The sequence below is a fragment of the Homo sapiens genome, chromosome 17, assembly GCF_000001405.40.
Source record: "Homo sapiens chromosome 17, GRCh38.p14 Primary Assembly".
Lineage (NCBI taxonomy): Eukaryota > Metazoa > Chordata > Mammalia > Primates > Hominidae > Homo > Homo sapiens.
Window position 1 is genome coordinate 14011631 of NC_000017.11, and position 15421 is coordinate 14027051.

At 45.9% G+C, this 15421-nt stretch overlaps 1 pseudogene across 1 annotated transcript; it reads left to right on the plus strand.

Annotated features, from left to right (window-relative positions):
* The first annotated feature begins 12867 nt into the window (after window positions 1-12867).
* CDRT15P1 (CDRT15 pseudogene 1) lies at window positions 12868-13968 on the plus strand (annotated as a pseudogene). The gene has a single exon (NR_003261.1). The product of NR_003261.1 is annotated as a CDRT15 pseudogene 1 (transcript).
* The last annotated feature ends 1453 nt before the right edge of the window (window positions 13969-15421 follow it).

Below are 15421 nucleotides of genomic sequence, written 5' to 3' on the forward strand. Positions count from 1 at the left end.
CTTTGGAGCCTCGACCTAGCAGCAATGATTCTGAGGGCACTTCCTATTAAATCTGCATTTTGCACAGAGAGATAAAGCAGGCCAGTGTGACCCTGTTTACAGGGATGACAGAAGAGCCCCTGCAGGCTCTGGTGCTGTCAGCAGTTTTACTCTATCAGGAAGCCTATGTGAGAAGGTCCCTCACAGCTCTTGGCCTGGACACATTTGCCAACTTTGCACACTTTTCTGAAATGCAACCACTTTCAGGTTGGGAGCTCTGAGCCACTTGGCAGCTCTGTGGGGCAGCTTTTTTGCTGGCAGGATGTGAGCATGCAACAAGCCCAACCAACCTGCCAGGCACGGGAGACATTCCCAGGCACATATCCATGAAGCCAAAGAGCAGTCTGGAAGAAAACAAACCTGTGTGGTTTAATATATAAAAGGAGTCTTCAAATTGTGTGTACATATCCCAAGGGAGATAGAAGGTAATGCACTGATATACAGGGATAATATGTTAGAATTACTTTTATTTTTGTTTTTAAAAATAGGAAATGAAACTCTTCCAATTTTCAATATACAGCTTTACACAAGCACCCTCACTCTATCCGTGTCAGGTGGCACACGTCACATGCAATACACACATCCACAACATAAAGTTGGAGGGGCAGATTAAAGAGGTATCCTCCCTCGTCTAGTAACTTTAAGCAGACTGTGATGTATCCCTGTTTATGTGGGAACAATAAAATTAATTTAATGACTGCAAAATCTATTCCAACCTAAATTAACCCCTACCAAGTACACCAATGGCTTAAAAGGCTTCAAGCAAAGATGCTAAAGATGGAAGATCAGACCCTTAGTGTAGACACAAAGCAACAATAGCTAATCTGTCCATTCTCCCATTGCCATTTGATCTCTCTGTCAGCCACATTATGAAAGGGAAAAACAGAGAAAGGAAAAGAATGGGACTAATTAAATTTGACCAAAAAATGTTCAAAGCTTCATATTTTTTGCTGGTTTTTTTTGTAGCAATTCTTATTCCAACACTGAATTATATTTGCAATATGAATGTATACCCACCATTGTTGATGACATACTTCATCAAAAGTACCTTGAAATATGAGCTAATGATAGTTTGAAGCCTTCAGGATTAGAAAGACACTAAAATGTGGCTTATTTCTTATTTATCTCAACCTTTTGTCATTCTTACTTTGCACATTTAACAATATAAATAAAGATGTACACATTGAAAGTACATGATGAGACACTTTTAACCAATGAGGTGCATAATCAAAAATAAAAATGACAGCCAACATTTGTTGTCTGTCTGTAAATTCATAGCCCCTCAAACTCCAAACCCTGTGCATTTATCACTCACCATGCAGCCCCCAACTAATAGAAAATAAAATTAAGTAAGAAATGTTATTGAAATTACTTAATTTGTTAGCTATAGCAGGTATTTGTTTAAATTCAAGCTTATCATCCCAGGTTCTCTAAAGACTGGTAGAAAACTTTTCAAGAGCAAGTCTAACTTAGGATCGTGTTCTCCTGATGATAATAATAACACCACCTCCACTGCAACCAACAGTTACTGTGCTTCCTGAGTGAAAGTCTTCTGCTAAGAGCTTTAAAGATATTAACTCATTTGCTCCTCACAATAACCCTATAAGGAAGGGGTCCTCAAGCCCTGAGCCACAAACCAGTACCAGTTTGTGGCCTGTGGGGAACCAGGCAACACAGCAGGAGGGGAGCATTACAGCCTGAGCTCTGCCTCCTGTCATATCAGTGGTGGCATTAGATTCTGATAGGAGCGCAAATCTTACTGTGAGCTGCACATATGAGGGATCTAGGTTGTACATTCCATAAGAGAATCCAGTGCCTGATGATCTGAGGTAGAACAGTTTCATCCCAAAACCATCCCCTCCACTGCCTCCCATAAAAATTGTCTTCTGGCCGGGCGCAGTGGCTCACGCCTGTAATCCCAGCACTTTGGGAGGCCGAGGCAGGCAGATCACCTAAGGTCAGGAGTTTGAGACCTGCCTGGCCAACATGGCAAAACCCCGTTTCTACTAAAAATACAAAAAATTAGCCAGGCATGGTGGTAGGCACCTATATAATCCCAGCTACTTGGGAGGCTGAGGCAGAAGAATCACTTGAACCCAGGAGGCGGAGGTTGCAGTGAGCTGAGATGGTGCCACTGCACTCCAGCCTGGGTGACAGGAGCAAAACTCCATCACACACACACACACACACACACACACACACACACACACACACACGCAAAATTGTCTTCCATGAAACGGGTCCCTGGTGCCAAAAAGGTTGGGGACTGCTGCTATAAGGCATTGTGGTGGACAGACGTTCAAGGCGGTTCCCATGATCCCAACTCCTGGTATCCATACCTTCATATTAATAATTGTACCCCCCCCCAAGTGTGGGCAGAACCTGTGATTTGCTTCTAATCAATAGAAACATTAAAGGTGACGTAATTATAGGTGAGTGATTATGTGATTACGTTATATAAGATTCTCGTGTCCAACTTGCTGGAGTGTCTCTCTCCCTGGCTAGTTTTGAGTAAGCAAGTAGCCACGTTGGGGACCCACCTGGCAAAAAACCAAGGGTGGCTTTCAGCCAATAGTCAACAAAGAAATGAAGCCCTCCAGAGATACATTCCGCTAACAACCTGAGTGAGCTTGAAAGGGGATCTTTCGCCAGTCAAGGCTCAGATGAGACCCCAATCCCGGCAGACACCTTGACTTCAGCCTTGCAGAAGACCCAGCTGAGCCATGCCTGACTCCTGACCCACAGAAACTGTAAGATAATGAATATGCGTTGTTTTAAGTTTCTGTGTTTGTAGTAATATTGTTATAAAGCAATAGATAACCAATATAGTTATGTATATTTTTATGTCTACTTTAAGGATGGAAAGTTAAATAAATTGACCAGTTCACACAGCTAGTCAGAGGTAGGGCTGGAATAGAAAATCTGGGTAGCCTGCTTCTGGAGGGTTAGCCTTAACCACTGCACTTTCCGGCCTCTGCAGACAATTTCCCTTCTAGCTCACTAGTCACTGCTATTGTCTCACTCCTTCTCCTTAGGATTGGACTTGTATCCCCAGGCCCTGGCCCCTTTAGGGTACCAAACCCAATCCCGTGCAATCCCAGTGCCAAGGCTGTGGCATGGCATTTGTGTTAGCACAAAGGAAAGAGTGGCGACTAATGAGTCACGGGCGTTTCTTCCACAGTCCAAGCGTCTGGGAAGGAGCAAAGCTTCATAGCCAACCAAAGCCTCCAGCTGTCTGTGACTCTGAATAAGCTCTGCCAATAACTCAAGTTTCCCCACAAATAAAGGAGAAAAATAAATCTGTGGGTGTCACCGAGAGAGTCTTGGCATGAAAGTCAGGAGACTTAGGCTCTAACCTTGGGTCTGCCAGCCAGGAGGCCGTGGGAACCTGGAGAAGTCACTTGGTTTTTCTAGCCCTTTGCTTTCTCGTCTCTGAAAAGAGGGCTTTGGATTGGATGACTTTTAACGTCTCCAAAAAATTTACACAGTTCTAAGGTACTGTCATGGTTTGAATATATTTAATGCCTTTCTCTTCCCCTAACTCCAGAATTGAAACAGCCTTCATTTCAGCTGCCTAATTTTGAAACCCAGGGGACACATTTCTAATAGAGAGTGAGCTAGGAAAAATAAAGAAGAAGAAGCCTCATGGGGTCGGAGACACAAGGAAGGGTAAAATTAATAGCCGAAAAGAAGACGTTCTCACCCAAAGCCATTGAAACCCTGAGCCTCCAGCCTGGGCATTTTCTGCCCGTGGTCCATGCTCAGCTGCCAGCATTCCTCTGTCCCTACTTTCCCTCGTAGATTGAGTCCCAGCCGGCATGACAGTCTCATTTCTCACTGAATGCTTGCGGTGAATGCTAAACTGTAATCTCTTTTTGCATGCTTCGGTTCCAAATTCATAACTGGAGGAGCAGACCCCGTTGTCTGCAAGCGTTCGCTGTTAGCCGCTCTGCCGAGCAGAGCCAAACGGTCCTGGTCCTGCAATCTAGTGGCTTTTTCCCTGCTTCACACTTTGTCAAAATGCATCACGGGTGACACAAAGAAATGGCCGCTGGAAACTCCCCATTTTCCAATCCTTTTACTATCTAATTGTTCCTCTTCTTCAAGGCTTGGCCATCCTCAAAACAGACCAGGGTCCCTGCCTGGGTTGTTTTCATTTTAAAGCAGAATGCACTACAAAAGAGAGGCCCTTCCCACAGCTCTAAGCTTGGCACTGTCTGTGGTCATTGTCTTAGACTCTGCTTTCTACGCCCTGCGCTGTCCCTGAGATGCCACCCCCAACTCACCATTACTCCAAATGGCCATTCCCTTCCTGCAACTCTAAAAACATGATCCAACAAAGCGATCCAGTGAAAAGTAGAGCAGGTTTACCCCCAAAGAACCTCCTACCTCCCATTGCACATACAATGGTGCCATCTCCTTGCAAAGGGCTGCAATTCCTGCCTGCCTCACCCACTTCACCCAGCAAGTCTTGCAGGATTGGGGCCCTCCAGCCACACGGGCCTTCATGTCCTTTTCTCAGGTACCCCAAAGGGCCTTGGCACATGCTGTCCCCTTTGCTGCAAATGCTCTCTATCTCTAGATCTCTCCATGGCTACCTCCTGCTCACCCTTAGTCTCAGGTCTGAGGAACTGTGGTGCACAGCGACGTTGTGCTTGGTAGGATGAGCACTGCTGGTTCCAGCACATCCAGTCAGCACCAGCCATTGCAATCTCCTGACTCTGGACATCAACATCTGTGACTCCACCTGAGGCTTTCTCTGACCACTTTCCCACGCCTCTGCTGGTATTTACATCATGACCTCCTCTATAAATGGTTTGCACTCAAATCTTTGTCTCAGAGCCTGGTTTGGGCAACCAACTAAGCTAGTCTGCGCTACCAATTTTCTCTCCCTGGTGCCTTTTTCTATTTTTTTTTTCATGCCTCTTTTTAAAAATCTCTGAATATTTTCTCCTGTTTATGTATTATCTTATTCTTTTTTATTTACTGTCTTCTTCTCTGCCTGGAGAGTGTAAGCTCCAGGAGAGGAGAGAGTGTTGTATCTATCCCCTGCATCCAACCTCAGCCTGGCGCATAGTAGGTGCTCGAGGAATGTTTTCTGAAGAATGAATGAGCTCCTCCTCATTTACAGCATCCTATGATTTTAAGTCACTGTTTCGTCTTTCAATAGTATTTCCAATTTGAGGCTCAAGGCATCCTGCAAAGCTTCCCCATGCCTCTGGCACTCCCCCAACCCCACTAAAGGAATCTCAAGCCCCTGGAGGGGAGGAAGAAAGGAAAGTTGTTTCCAGTGCCTCTGATATCATACTGCAGTCACGGAGGCACCCAGAGTCTACCAGCCCTGATCACCCAGTCTTGCAGCTGAGACCTAAACAGAAAGGGCACTTAGATGTTATGATAAGGATACAATTTTGGATCAATGTAACTATTGGAACTTTGGACTCTTGCGTAAAACGTAACATGTTCATTTCTTAAAAAAAAAAAAAAAAAAAAAAAGCATGTTTGTCTCAGGGACCATCTTTTGCCCTGCAGGATTTTCTCTGTGGTTAACTGGATCTGGGGTCTCATTCCTCAATCAAAGAATGAAGGTGTTGATTAGGTGACTGCCAGCAGGCATTTGAAGGAAGCCAGTCTTCCTGCGCAGCCTTCTGTATGAATGCAGGGATCTCACCATACATGTGCTTGTATGTGCGTGTGCATTGCCCACAGGTTTGGAGTGCATGTGCAGTGTTGTGTGTCACCCACCCTCACTCCTTGTCGACACTCCTATACTTGGTCCATCTGTCTAATCTCCCTGGATCCAGGGCACCAGAAATTATGTCTGTTCATCATTGCGCCTGCAATGTTTGTCATAGTTAATGGTACACATTGGACACCATAAATACACAATGGGGGAAAAATACATGTATGCATGAATTTCACTTCTTCCTGGGGAAGAGCCACTAAAACTCCTTAGAAGGGTCCTGAAACTCATTAGGACTGAGCAGAATCTTCAGGAGCCCTCTATAAAGAAACAGTGACAATGAATAGCCAACTAAGAAAAAATTATAGTGTCAAAGGCCAAAGGACCAATGGCATTTAAAGAGAAACATGGGATGGCTCCTAGGTGACTTCTGCACAGGCACCCATGGCTTAGCTATAAACAGATGGACTAATCTCAAGAAAACTCCAAAATCAGTACATTATTGCCAGAGCTGTGTTCTCCGCCAAAGACGTCCAAACCACTTTGTGATCATGAGAGGCACACCTAGCCTCCTCTCATGGCATGCCAAGCCACCAAGGGGGCCAGTCCTAGGAGACAGCTCAGAAGAGGCACTCCGCCAAGGAGACTGGAGGCTACAGAAACTGCCCCAAGAATTGAGTGAGATGATGTATGTGGAGGCATTTTGTAACCCATAAATCTTTTTACCCCCACTGTGTGTTTTGATGATGATGATAACTATTATTGCTAAGTGTGATCAGTGGATAATTAGTCCCAGATGATGCCCCATTGGGGAAAAAAAATTGTTGTGGTCAGAAAGCCAGAGTGAAATCCTTTGAAAACCTAAGTCAGATCCTGCTATGTCCCTGCGCAAAGCCCTCTGGGGGTTGCCATCTCATGCAGAATCAAACTCAAACTCCTTACCGTGGCCCAAAAGTCCAACGTGATCATTCTGGCTGCCCCCTCAGCCCTTACCCTGCCACTCTCACCAATCTCTGTTGCCACCAAGCTGGTCTTCCTGCTGAGTGGGCCACACCAGTCTTCCAGTTCCTTCTTAGAACATCCTTCATGTGAAATCCGGATGGGCCGCACCAAAAACGATGCTCAACCTCACCAATCATGAAGGAAATGCAGATCGAAACTGCAATAAGGTACACTCATCAGGGTGTATCACACCCATTAGGATGGCTGAGACCAAAGAAAACAGAAAATAACAAGTGTATTAAGGAGGTGGAGAAATTGAGAGCCTCATGCACCGTTGATGGGAATATAAAATTGTGCAGCTGCTGTGGAAGACAGTATGGTGTTTCCTCGAAAAATGAAACACAGAACTACCTTATATGTGGCAATTCCACTTCTGATTATATATCCAAAAAGAGCTGAAAGCAGACCCTTGAATGGATATTTGCACATCCATGTTTACAGCAGCATTATTCATAGTTAACCAACAGGTGGAAGCAATCCAAGAGTTCACTGGCAGAAGAATGGATAAACAAAATGGGGCATATCTATACAATGGAATATTATTCAGCCTTAAATAGAAGGAGATTCTGACACACATGCTACAACATGGGTTAACCTTCAAGACATTATCCTAAGTGAAATAAGCCAGTCAAGGCCAAGCATGGTGGTTCACGGCTGTAATTTCAGCACTTTGGGAGGATGCGGCTGACGGATCACGAGGTCAGGAGTTCGAGACCAGCCTGGCCAACATAGTGAAACGCTGTCTCTACTAAAAATACAAAAATTAGTCAGGCGTGGTGGTGCATGCCTGTAATCCCAGCTACTCAGGAGGCTGAGGCAGGAGAATTGTTTGAACCCCGGGAGGCAGAGGTTGTAGTGAACCGAGATCCTTCTCAGAAAAAAAAAAAAAAAAAGCCACTCAAAAAAAGGACAAATACTCTGATTTCACTTATATGAGGTATTTAGAGGAGTCACTTCATAGAGACAAAAAGCAGAATGATGGGTGCCAGGTGCTAATGGGTGGGGGGAATGGGGAGTTAGAGTTTAACGAACATAGGGTTTCAGTTTTGGAAGATGAAAAGAGTTTTACAGATGGAGGGTGGTGATAGAGGCACAACACTGTGAATACACTTAATGCACTTAAAAATGGTTAAAACGTTAAATTTTATGTTGCATATATTTTCTACAATTAAAGAAAAAAAAAGCGTTGTGGAAGTCAAGGATCCAGCCCAGCCTTCTGGCTTGCAGGCAGTAGAAGAGAGCAGTGTTCTTGATGGGCCTGAGTCACCGATGACAACTGTGTGGAGGTGATGCCACTGCTGCGGCCACAGCCACCAGCCTGCCCTGTCCCGATAGACACCAGTTCCAACAACCTCTCATCTACCTTTCAGGTAATGTGATTGAATGAACTCTGCTGGCAGATAGTTTGCTGGTGTTTAGACAAAGCTAACACTGCTGGAAATAACAAGAGTGGCCTGGCAGGAAGTGTCAGATCATGAATCACTAAAGTCAAAGTTATCTTCAGTCTGTGGCCAAAAACACCGCCCACTGGATTAAAGAGAAGGAACTACTGATGAAAGCAGCAACATGGATGAGTCTTAGAAGGGCAGTGCTGAGGCTGGGTGCGGGGGCTCATGCCTGTAATCCCAGCACTTTGGGAGGCCGAGGCTGGCGGATCACGAGGTCAGGAGATCGAGACCATCCTGGCCAACATGGTGAAACCCCGTCTCTACTAAAAATACAAAAAATTAGCCAGGCGTGGTGGGGGGCACCTGTAGTTCCAGCTACTCGGGACGCTGAGGCGGCAGAATGGCGTAAACCCGGGAGGCGGATCTTGCAGTGAGCCGAGATCGTGCCACTGCACTCCAGCCTGGGTGACAGAGCGAGACTCCGTCTCAAAAAAAAAAAAAAAAGAAGGGCTGTGCTGTGTGAAAAACACTGGAGTACTGGACTCAATGACCCCATTCATATGACGCGCTGGAAGAGCCGTGAAAAAAATGAGAACAATGGTTGCTAGAAATGAGGGAACGGACGGCCCATGGGTGTGGGGCTGGTGGGAAGGGCCATGAGAGAAGAATTCAGAGGTAATGGAAATATTTTGTATTTTGATGAGGGTTTGGACTACGTGACTGTATTTTTAAAGCTCATCAAATTGTACACGAGATCTATTCTGGTGGGCTTCACTGTATGTAAACTTGACCTCTAAAATAGAGCTGTAAACAAATATTGAGCCCTAGCTAATGCTTGACATGCATGTTGAAGTATTAGTGGCGAAATGTACTGATGCCTGCTGCTTACTTTGCAAAGCATCTAAAAATAAGGCGAATTGATGCATATGGAGAGAAATGTGATGAGAAAAACACTGGCAATTGCAGAATCTAGTCGGTACATATCTAGCGGGTATGTATCTGGATGTTAACAATTTCAACTTTTCTGTGTGTTTTAAAACTTCCCTATAAAATGTTGACAGGAATAAAATTATAGAAATTACAGTTTAAGAAAAATTAAATTGGCTGGGTGCGGTGGCTCATGCCTGTAATCCCAGCACTTTGGGAGGCTGAGGTGGGTGGATCACGAGATCAGATCGAGACAGCAGAGATGAATCATGTTACTCAACGTAGAAAGTTGCCATCAGTAAGTGAAACTGACAAAAGGATATCTTAAAAGACAAATGCTTCAAATTTAATATCTGTAAGGAAATATGGCTGGGTGCGGTGGCTCACACCTGTAATCCCAGCACTTTGGGAAGCCGAGGCGGGTGAATCACCTGAAGTCGGGAGTTCGAGACCAGCCTGACCAACATGGAGAAACCCCATCTCTACTAAAAGTACAAAATTAGCCAGGCGTGGTGGCGCATGCCTATAATCCTAGCTACTCAGGAGGTTGAGACAGGAGAACAGCTTGAACCCCGGAGGCAGAGGTGAGCCGAGATCATGCCATTGCACTCATGCCTGGGCAACAAGAGCAAGACTCCATCTCAAAAAAAAAAAAAAAATGCAGTTGATTATGGAGACTGATTAAGAAGTAAACTGCATGATATAAGGGGAACATATTAATCAAAAGTAGAATAATAAATTTCATTATATAAATGTTTTCGTTTTCTACAAGTTAATATATAAAGGACAATAGCATGGAATTAAAGGTGTTGTGTTTTTATTCAAGAATGATTTTTTTTTTATTTTTGATGCAGAGTCTCCCTCTGTTGCCCAGGCTGGAGTGCAGTGGGATGATCTCGGCTCACTGTAACCTCCACTTCCCGGGTTCAAGGGGTTCTCATCCCTCAGCCTCCTGAGTAGCTGGGATTACAGGTGCCGAGCTACCACACCTGACCAAGAATATTTTCTTTTTTTTTGAGATGGAGTCTCATTCTGTCGCCCAGGCTGGAATGCAGTGGCGCAATCTTGTCCTGTCTAACTACACTTTAGAACGCTTTCACCGTCTCCCCAAACCCCTGCCTCCCAGCCCCTGGTATCCTCCATTCTACTCTCTGCTTCCATGAGTTCAATTGTTTTACATTCCACATAAGTCAGATCACGTGGTAGTTGTCTTTTTGTGCCTGGCTCACTTCACTTAACATCATGTGCTCCATTAAGCTCCTGTGAATCCCAGTTTCTAACCTGCAATTGCTCTAAGTGTTTTCATTGCCTTTTCATGGTTTCTACTAAGAATTCCAGAGCCCAGATGCAATGTTTTCACTGCTTTGGATGTTATTCATTGTTTTTCTTTACATCTTGTCCATGGACACACAAATAAACTGTCCGGTGCAAGTGCAGCTGCCGTATGCGCTTCCTGTGAAAGAAGGCCGGTTTGACATCTATTAAACAAATCCATCTCAGCATTCTTAACAGCCTTTATATTGTTTGATATCAAGCTCAGTCATTTAAAAAATATGCCTCTGTCTTTGTAAGATTACCTATGGGTTGGAGAAGACTTATGTAATATTCAACTCAGCAGATAATGTATATAAAAATTATTGCATATGATTTAATGATCTGGAATCAATTTTAACTGTTTATATGTCACACTTGGGAAAAAGCAGGACAATTATAAAATTTAATAATGGCATCTCCATAAAAAGCAATAATTCATATTCTACTTTAAAAATCCTTTCTCTTATGTAGAGGAGTAAGTGGCATCCTGGTGGCACCAGAAGGATGTACTGGTGAGCTTGTGTAGTGGTCACTAAGTTAACGCGTGTTGCTTTATTTGACTGATACTGATGTTGCCATCTTAGCTTCCGGCAGTTAGGTGGGCAGAAAACCCAAAGTTAGTAACTTTGGACAGTTGCAACAATGTTAGTAACTCAAGGGCCAAAGTGATGGATTAAACGGCCAGTCCAGGCAATCTCTGGTTCACCCTCATGATGACAGAGTGCTTTTAGGTAGTGAGGCAGTGCTTAGTCTCAAGGCAGCCTCCCTTCCCCTCATGCATTACCTGGTGTTTGTGGGCAGGAGTGTGGATCCTGTATACATGCCTGGGGTTGTGGGTGTGGGGAGGGGCCTCCAGTGTGCTGGGGTATACCCTGGGGCCTCTGTAGGTGCCTGATCCATAGATGCTCCCTGTGGCCTCGTCACAGGGGTCACCAGGCCCCTGGTGGCTTACAGTGTGGAAGTTGGAGGCTTCACCATAATCTGTGGCCTGAGCTTGGCCTCAGGGAATATTTCCGGGTGGTGTCAGCTGTATCTCCTCCTTACTCAGTGTCGTAGGGGAGCAGCGACTCTCTGGGACAGTGGGATGGGTGGTAAAAGAATTTACCAAGACAGTTGTAGGTAAAGAAAGGCAGATTCATTGGACACCACAGAGCTTACATGTTTGTGGTGATGTGGGTGTGAACATACGATTATCGACAGTGCATAATGCTTGATGAAAATAATAGATGCTGATGTTATTGTTTTATGTATTTAATATCCTATATTTTTTATTGTTATTTTAGAGTATATGCTTACTACTTTTTTTTAAGGTAACTGTGAAGCAGCCTCAGGCAGTTTCTTCAGGAGGTTTCCAGAAGAAGGCATTCTTATCAAGGAGATGACAGCTCCATGCCTGTTACTGCCCCTGAAGACCTTCCGGTGGGACAAGATGTGGAGGTAGAGGACAGTGAAATTGATGATCCTGACCCTGCTTAGCCTTAGGCGAAAGTGTCTGGTTGTGTCTTGTTTTTTAACAACAAACGGTTTAAAAGTAAAATAAATAAATAATGAAAAAAGCTCATAGAATAAGGTTAAAAAGAAACAAAATATTTTTGTATAGCTATATAATTTGTGTGGCTTTTTTGTTTATTTGTTTGAGACAGGGTCTCACTCTGTCACCCAGACTGGAGGGCAGTGGCACAATCACAGCTCACTGTGGTCTCAACCTCTTGAGCTCCAGAGATCCTCCCACCTCACTCAGGAGGACGTCAGTCCTCCAGGCAGACGTCAGTCCCCAGGTGGACCCTGGACTCAAAGTGTATACCAGGCCCCAAGTTGACAACCAGGCCCCAGATGGACACCAAGGCCCTAGGTGGACAGCAGGCCCATGTTGAACACCAGACTCATGAGGACATCAGGCCGCAGGTAGACATCATGCCTTAGGTAGATACGTAGGCTCCGGGTGGACATTAGACCCAAGGCTCCAGGTAGACATTAGACCCAAGGCTCCAGGTAGACATTAGACCCAAGTCCCCAGGTGATCATCAGGCCCAGGTGAAAACTCAGGCCTTAGGTGCACATCCGGCCTCAGGTGGACACCCAGGCCCCAGGTGGACACAAGGCCTTAGGTGAACAACAAGACCCAGTAGGCCATCAGGCCTCAGTTGGATACAGTCCCCAGGTGAACACAAGGCCCCCAGAGGGACATAGGCCCAACGCAGACATCAGGCCCTAGGTGGACATCAGGCCTGAGGACATCCGGCCCCTGGTGAACATCAGGCACAGGTGTCCAAGCAGACCTTGGGTGGACATAACAGTGTACAGGTAAGGAGTTGACGTGGGGGGAGGGTGAGTAGTCAGCAGCCCAGTGGAGTCCTGGAGTAGGTCTTATGGAAGGAAGGGGTCTAGGGAACAGAACCGTAAAGAAGCGACGTCACTTCCTGGATGATGACCACACGAACAGAACTTAGAACTCTGGTAACCAGGCACCCATATCCTAGAGTCAGCGCCGTAAACAGCTCACTTGGTGGGAGACGCTCAAGAGAGCAAGATGTTCTCGTGTTGCTTCTCCACTTTGAGAGGTTGCTGCTTCAGGAACGGAGGGAGTGAGAGCCTTTTCTGACGATGCCGAAGAAGGCTCATCCCTCACCCCAGACGCCTGTCGCCCGTTGTAATAAGGCGCATCCAGGTACCACAGGACAGCCTGGGGCAGGCCCTAGCAGGCCAGGCCACACCAGAGATCCCATTGGGGCTGCAGCTGCACACTGTCCTTGTCCAGGAGATTCAGGAGCTCATTGAGGCACAGACACGTGGTGAGGTGGCCTGCAGCCTGGAAGACTTTGCAGGGGCGGTGCTTTTGGGCTGGAATTCCCTTAAATTCAGTGAGGTCGTTTCTGTGTTTGGAAATTCCAGTGGAAAGTGACTGATGCTGGTGACCCTTTCTCCTTTCTCAGCTCCTGGTCCATGTGCAGAAGTAAGAGCACTGCCAGCACCAGCGGCGGAGCCAGAGCCAGCATGGGAAGAGGCCCCTCCAGAGAGAGCACTGGAGCTGGAGGGAGCTCCAGCCAAGGACCAGACCAATGAGGAGCTGCCTGAAATCACGGCACGTACTGTAGCCACTGGCCCTAACCCTGGAACTGAAAGCGTGGCTGGAGAGAAAAGTGGGAGGGAGGGGGTGACCAGCACAGCCCCAGCCAGCAGCTCCCATGCTGCCCCTAGTCCTGGGCACGGTGGCAAACATGCAGGCAGAGAGCAGGGCATTTGGCCTGGCCTCCTGTACCTCGCTGCAGAGAGGCTTCTCTCATTCACTAGAACCACAGTCCTGCTGCTGCAGGTCCGTTTATTCTCCTGATCTTGGTTTATCTGTGTGCAGGAGGTGCCGGAGAGCATTAAAAGAAGGCTGGGAGGAAGAGTTCCAGCAGCTACGCCTGCTCCCAGAGGCAACCTCCTCCTCCAGGCATGGATGCGGGTCCACAGCTGGGCATCCAGGCTGTTTGCCCCTAATGTGCTGCCCGGGACAGGCCCTTAACAGGCGGGCAGTGGGTGAGGGGACCAGGAGGTGGCTCCAAAGGGTAAAGCAAACAAAGCTTTTAACGACAGCCGTTGTGCCCCAGGCTCTCCATGCCACCACCTGCCCTACCATTTATTAATAGTGTTAGAATTACAAGTTGATGAAACGAGATTACAATAAAGTTTGATTTCTGAAACTTCATGCCTTTTTGAACTCCCTAATGTTAGATGGTGTTTTTGAGGCTATCCTGAAAATCTCTGATAGTTGTGTCTTTTGTTGTGGTTGTTTGTGTGGCTGAATTACCATCGAGTCATCTGTTATTGGAAACCTTTCAGGTATGGCTTTTAGAAGACCTTGACCTACTCTTGCCTGTTTTGACTCTCTGGTTTACTGTGGAAAGAGGGATGATGTAGGCTCATGTCTCCGGCAGATCATTCACCTTTTGCCATCAAGGATTTGGCATCAGAGTTTCCAAGAATTATGTGTGCAAGTTGATATGCTGCTACTTTAGCTAATCTGGGTGTCAAAACAGAATGCCATAGACTAGGTAGCGTAGAAAATTGATTTCTCACAGTTCTGGAGATGGTAAAATCCAAGGTCAAATTGTCAGCGGATTCCGTGGGGCTGACTTCCTGGTTCATAGACAGCCACCTTTTTTACTGTGTCTTTACATGACAGAAGGGATGAGGGAGCTCTCTGCAGTCCCTTTGAAGGGGCACCAATTCCATTCATGAGGTCCCTGCCTTCATGAACTGAATCACCTGCCAAGGCCCCACCTCCAAATACCATCACATAGAATTAGAATTCAACACATGAATTTAAGGAGGACAATAACATTTGCTTCACAGAATCAGGTCACCCCGCACCATATGCACTCACAGGAAATCTCTAATCTCCTGTTAAGTATTTGCTGGTCCCCTCTGGGTTTAGGGAATTTTTTTTCTTTAAGAAAAATGATTTTTCATGTGATCCATGGTTTATTCATAGAAAAGCACTGTGAGTTCATACACTTGCTAAAAAGAAGGGCAATTGTGATACGAAAATGAGAGTGACCTCTCTCCCTCTCTTCTTTTCAACCAACTCATTGGACTGAGATGTTATAGGGTCCCTTGGCTGGGCAGTAGGACGTGAGTAGCCACAAACGGCAAATACAACTTCTTGGTCAGTTTGGAGTAGAAAAGGTGACATTTTGTCAACGAAAGAAAAAGGAAAGCAGATGGAGAAGTTCTTAGTTTGCATTCTAGCTATACCACCCCTTCCCTATCAAACCCCACCCCCAGCTAAGGAACTAAGACATAAAAGAGTAAACACCAAGGCACTGGTAACCAACTGACTCTTCTGAATGCTCTTGCTATCTCCTACAATAATTCCAGGCTGAGTATAGGGGTCAGGAAAGTAGCAGGAACATGATGATTCACTGTGGAGGTCAGCCAGGGCTAAGACAGGGTTGCCCACTGGGGCTAGAAATTAGGAAGGGAGAGGCTAAGTGAAGACCAGCCCTAGCCTCCAAGTCAGCAAGCAATGAGACTGTGACAAAAGCAGGCAGAGAAAGGCAGGGGAAGAAAGCAAGTACGGGGT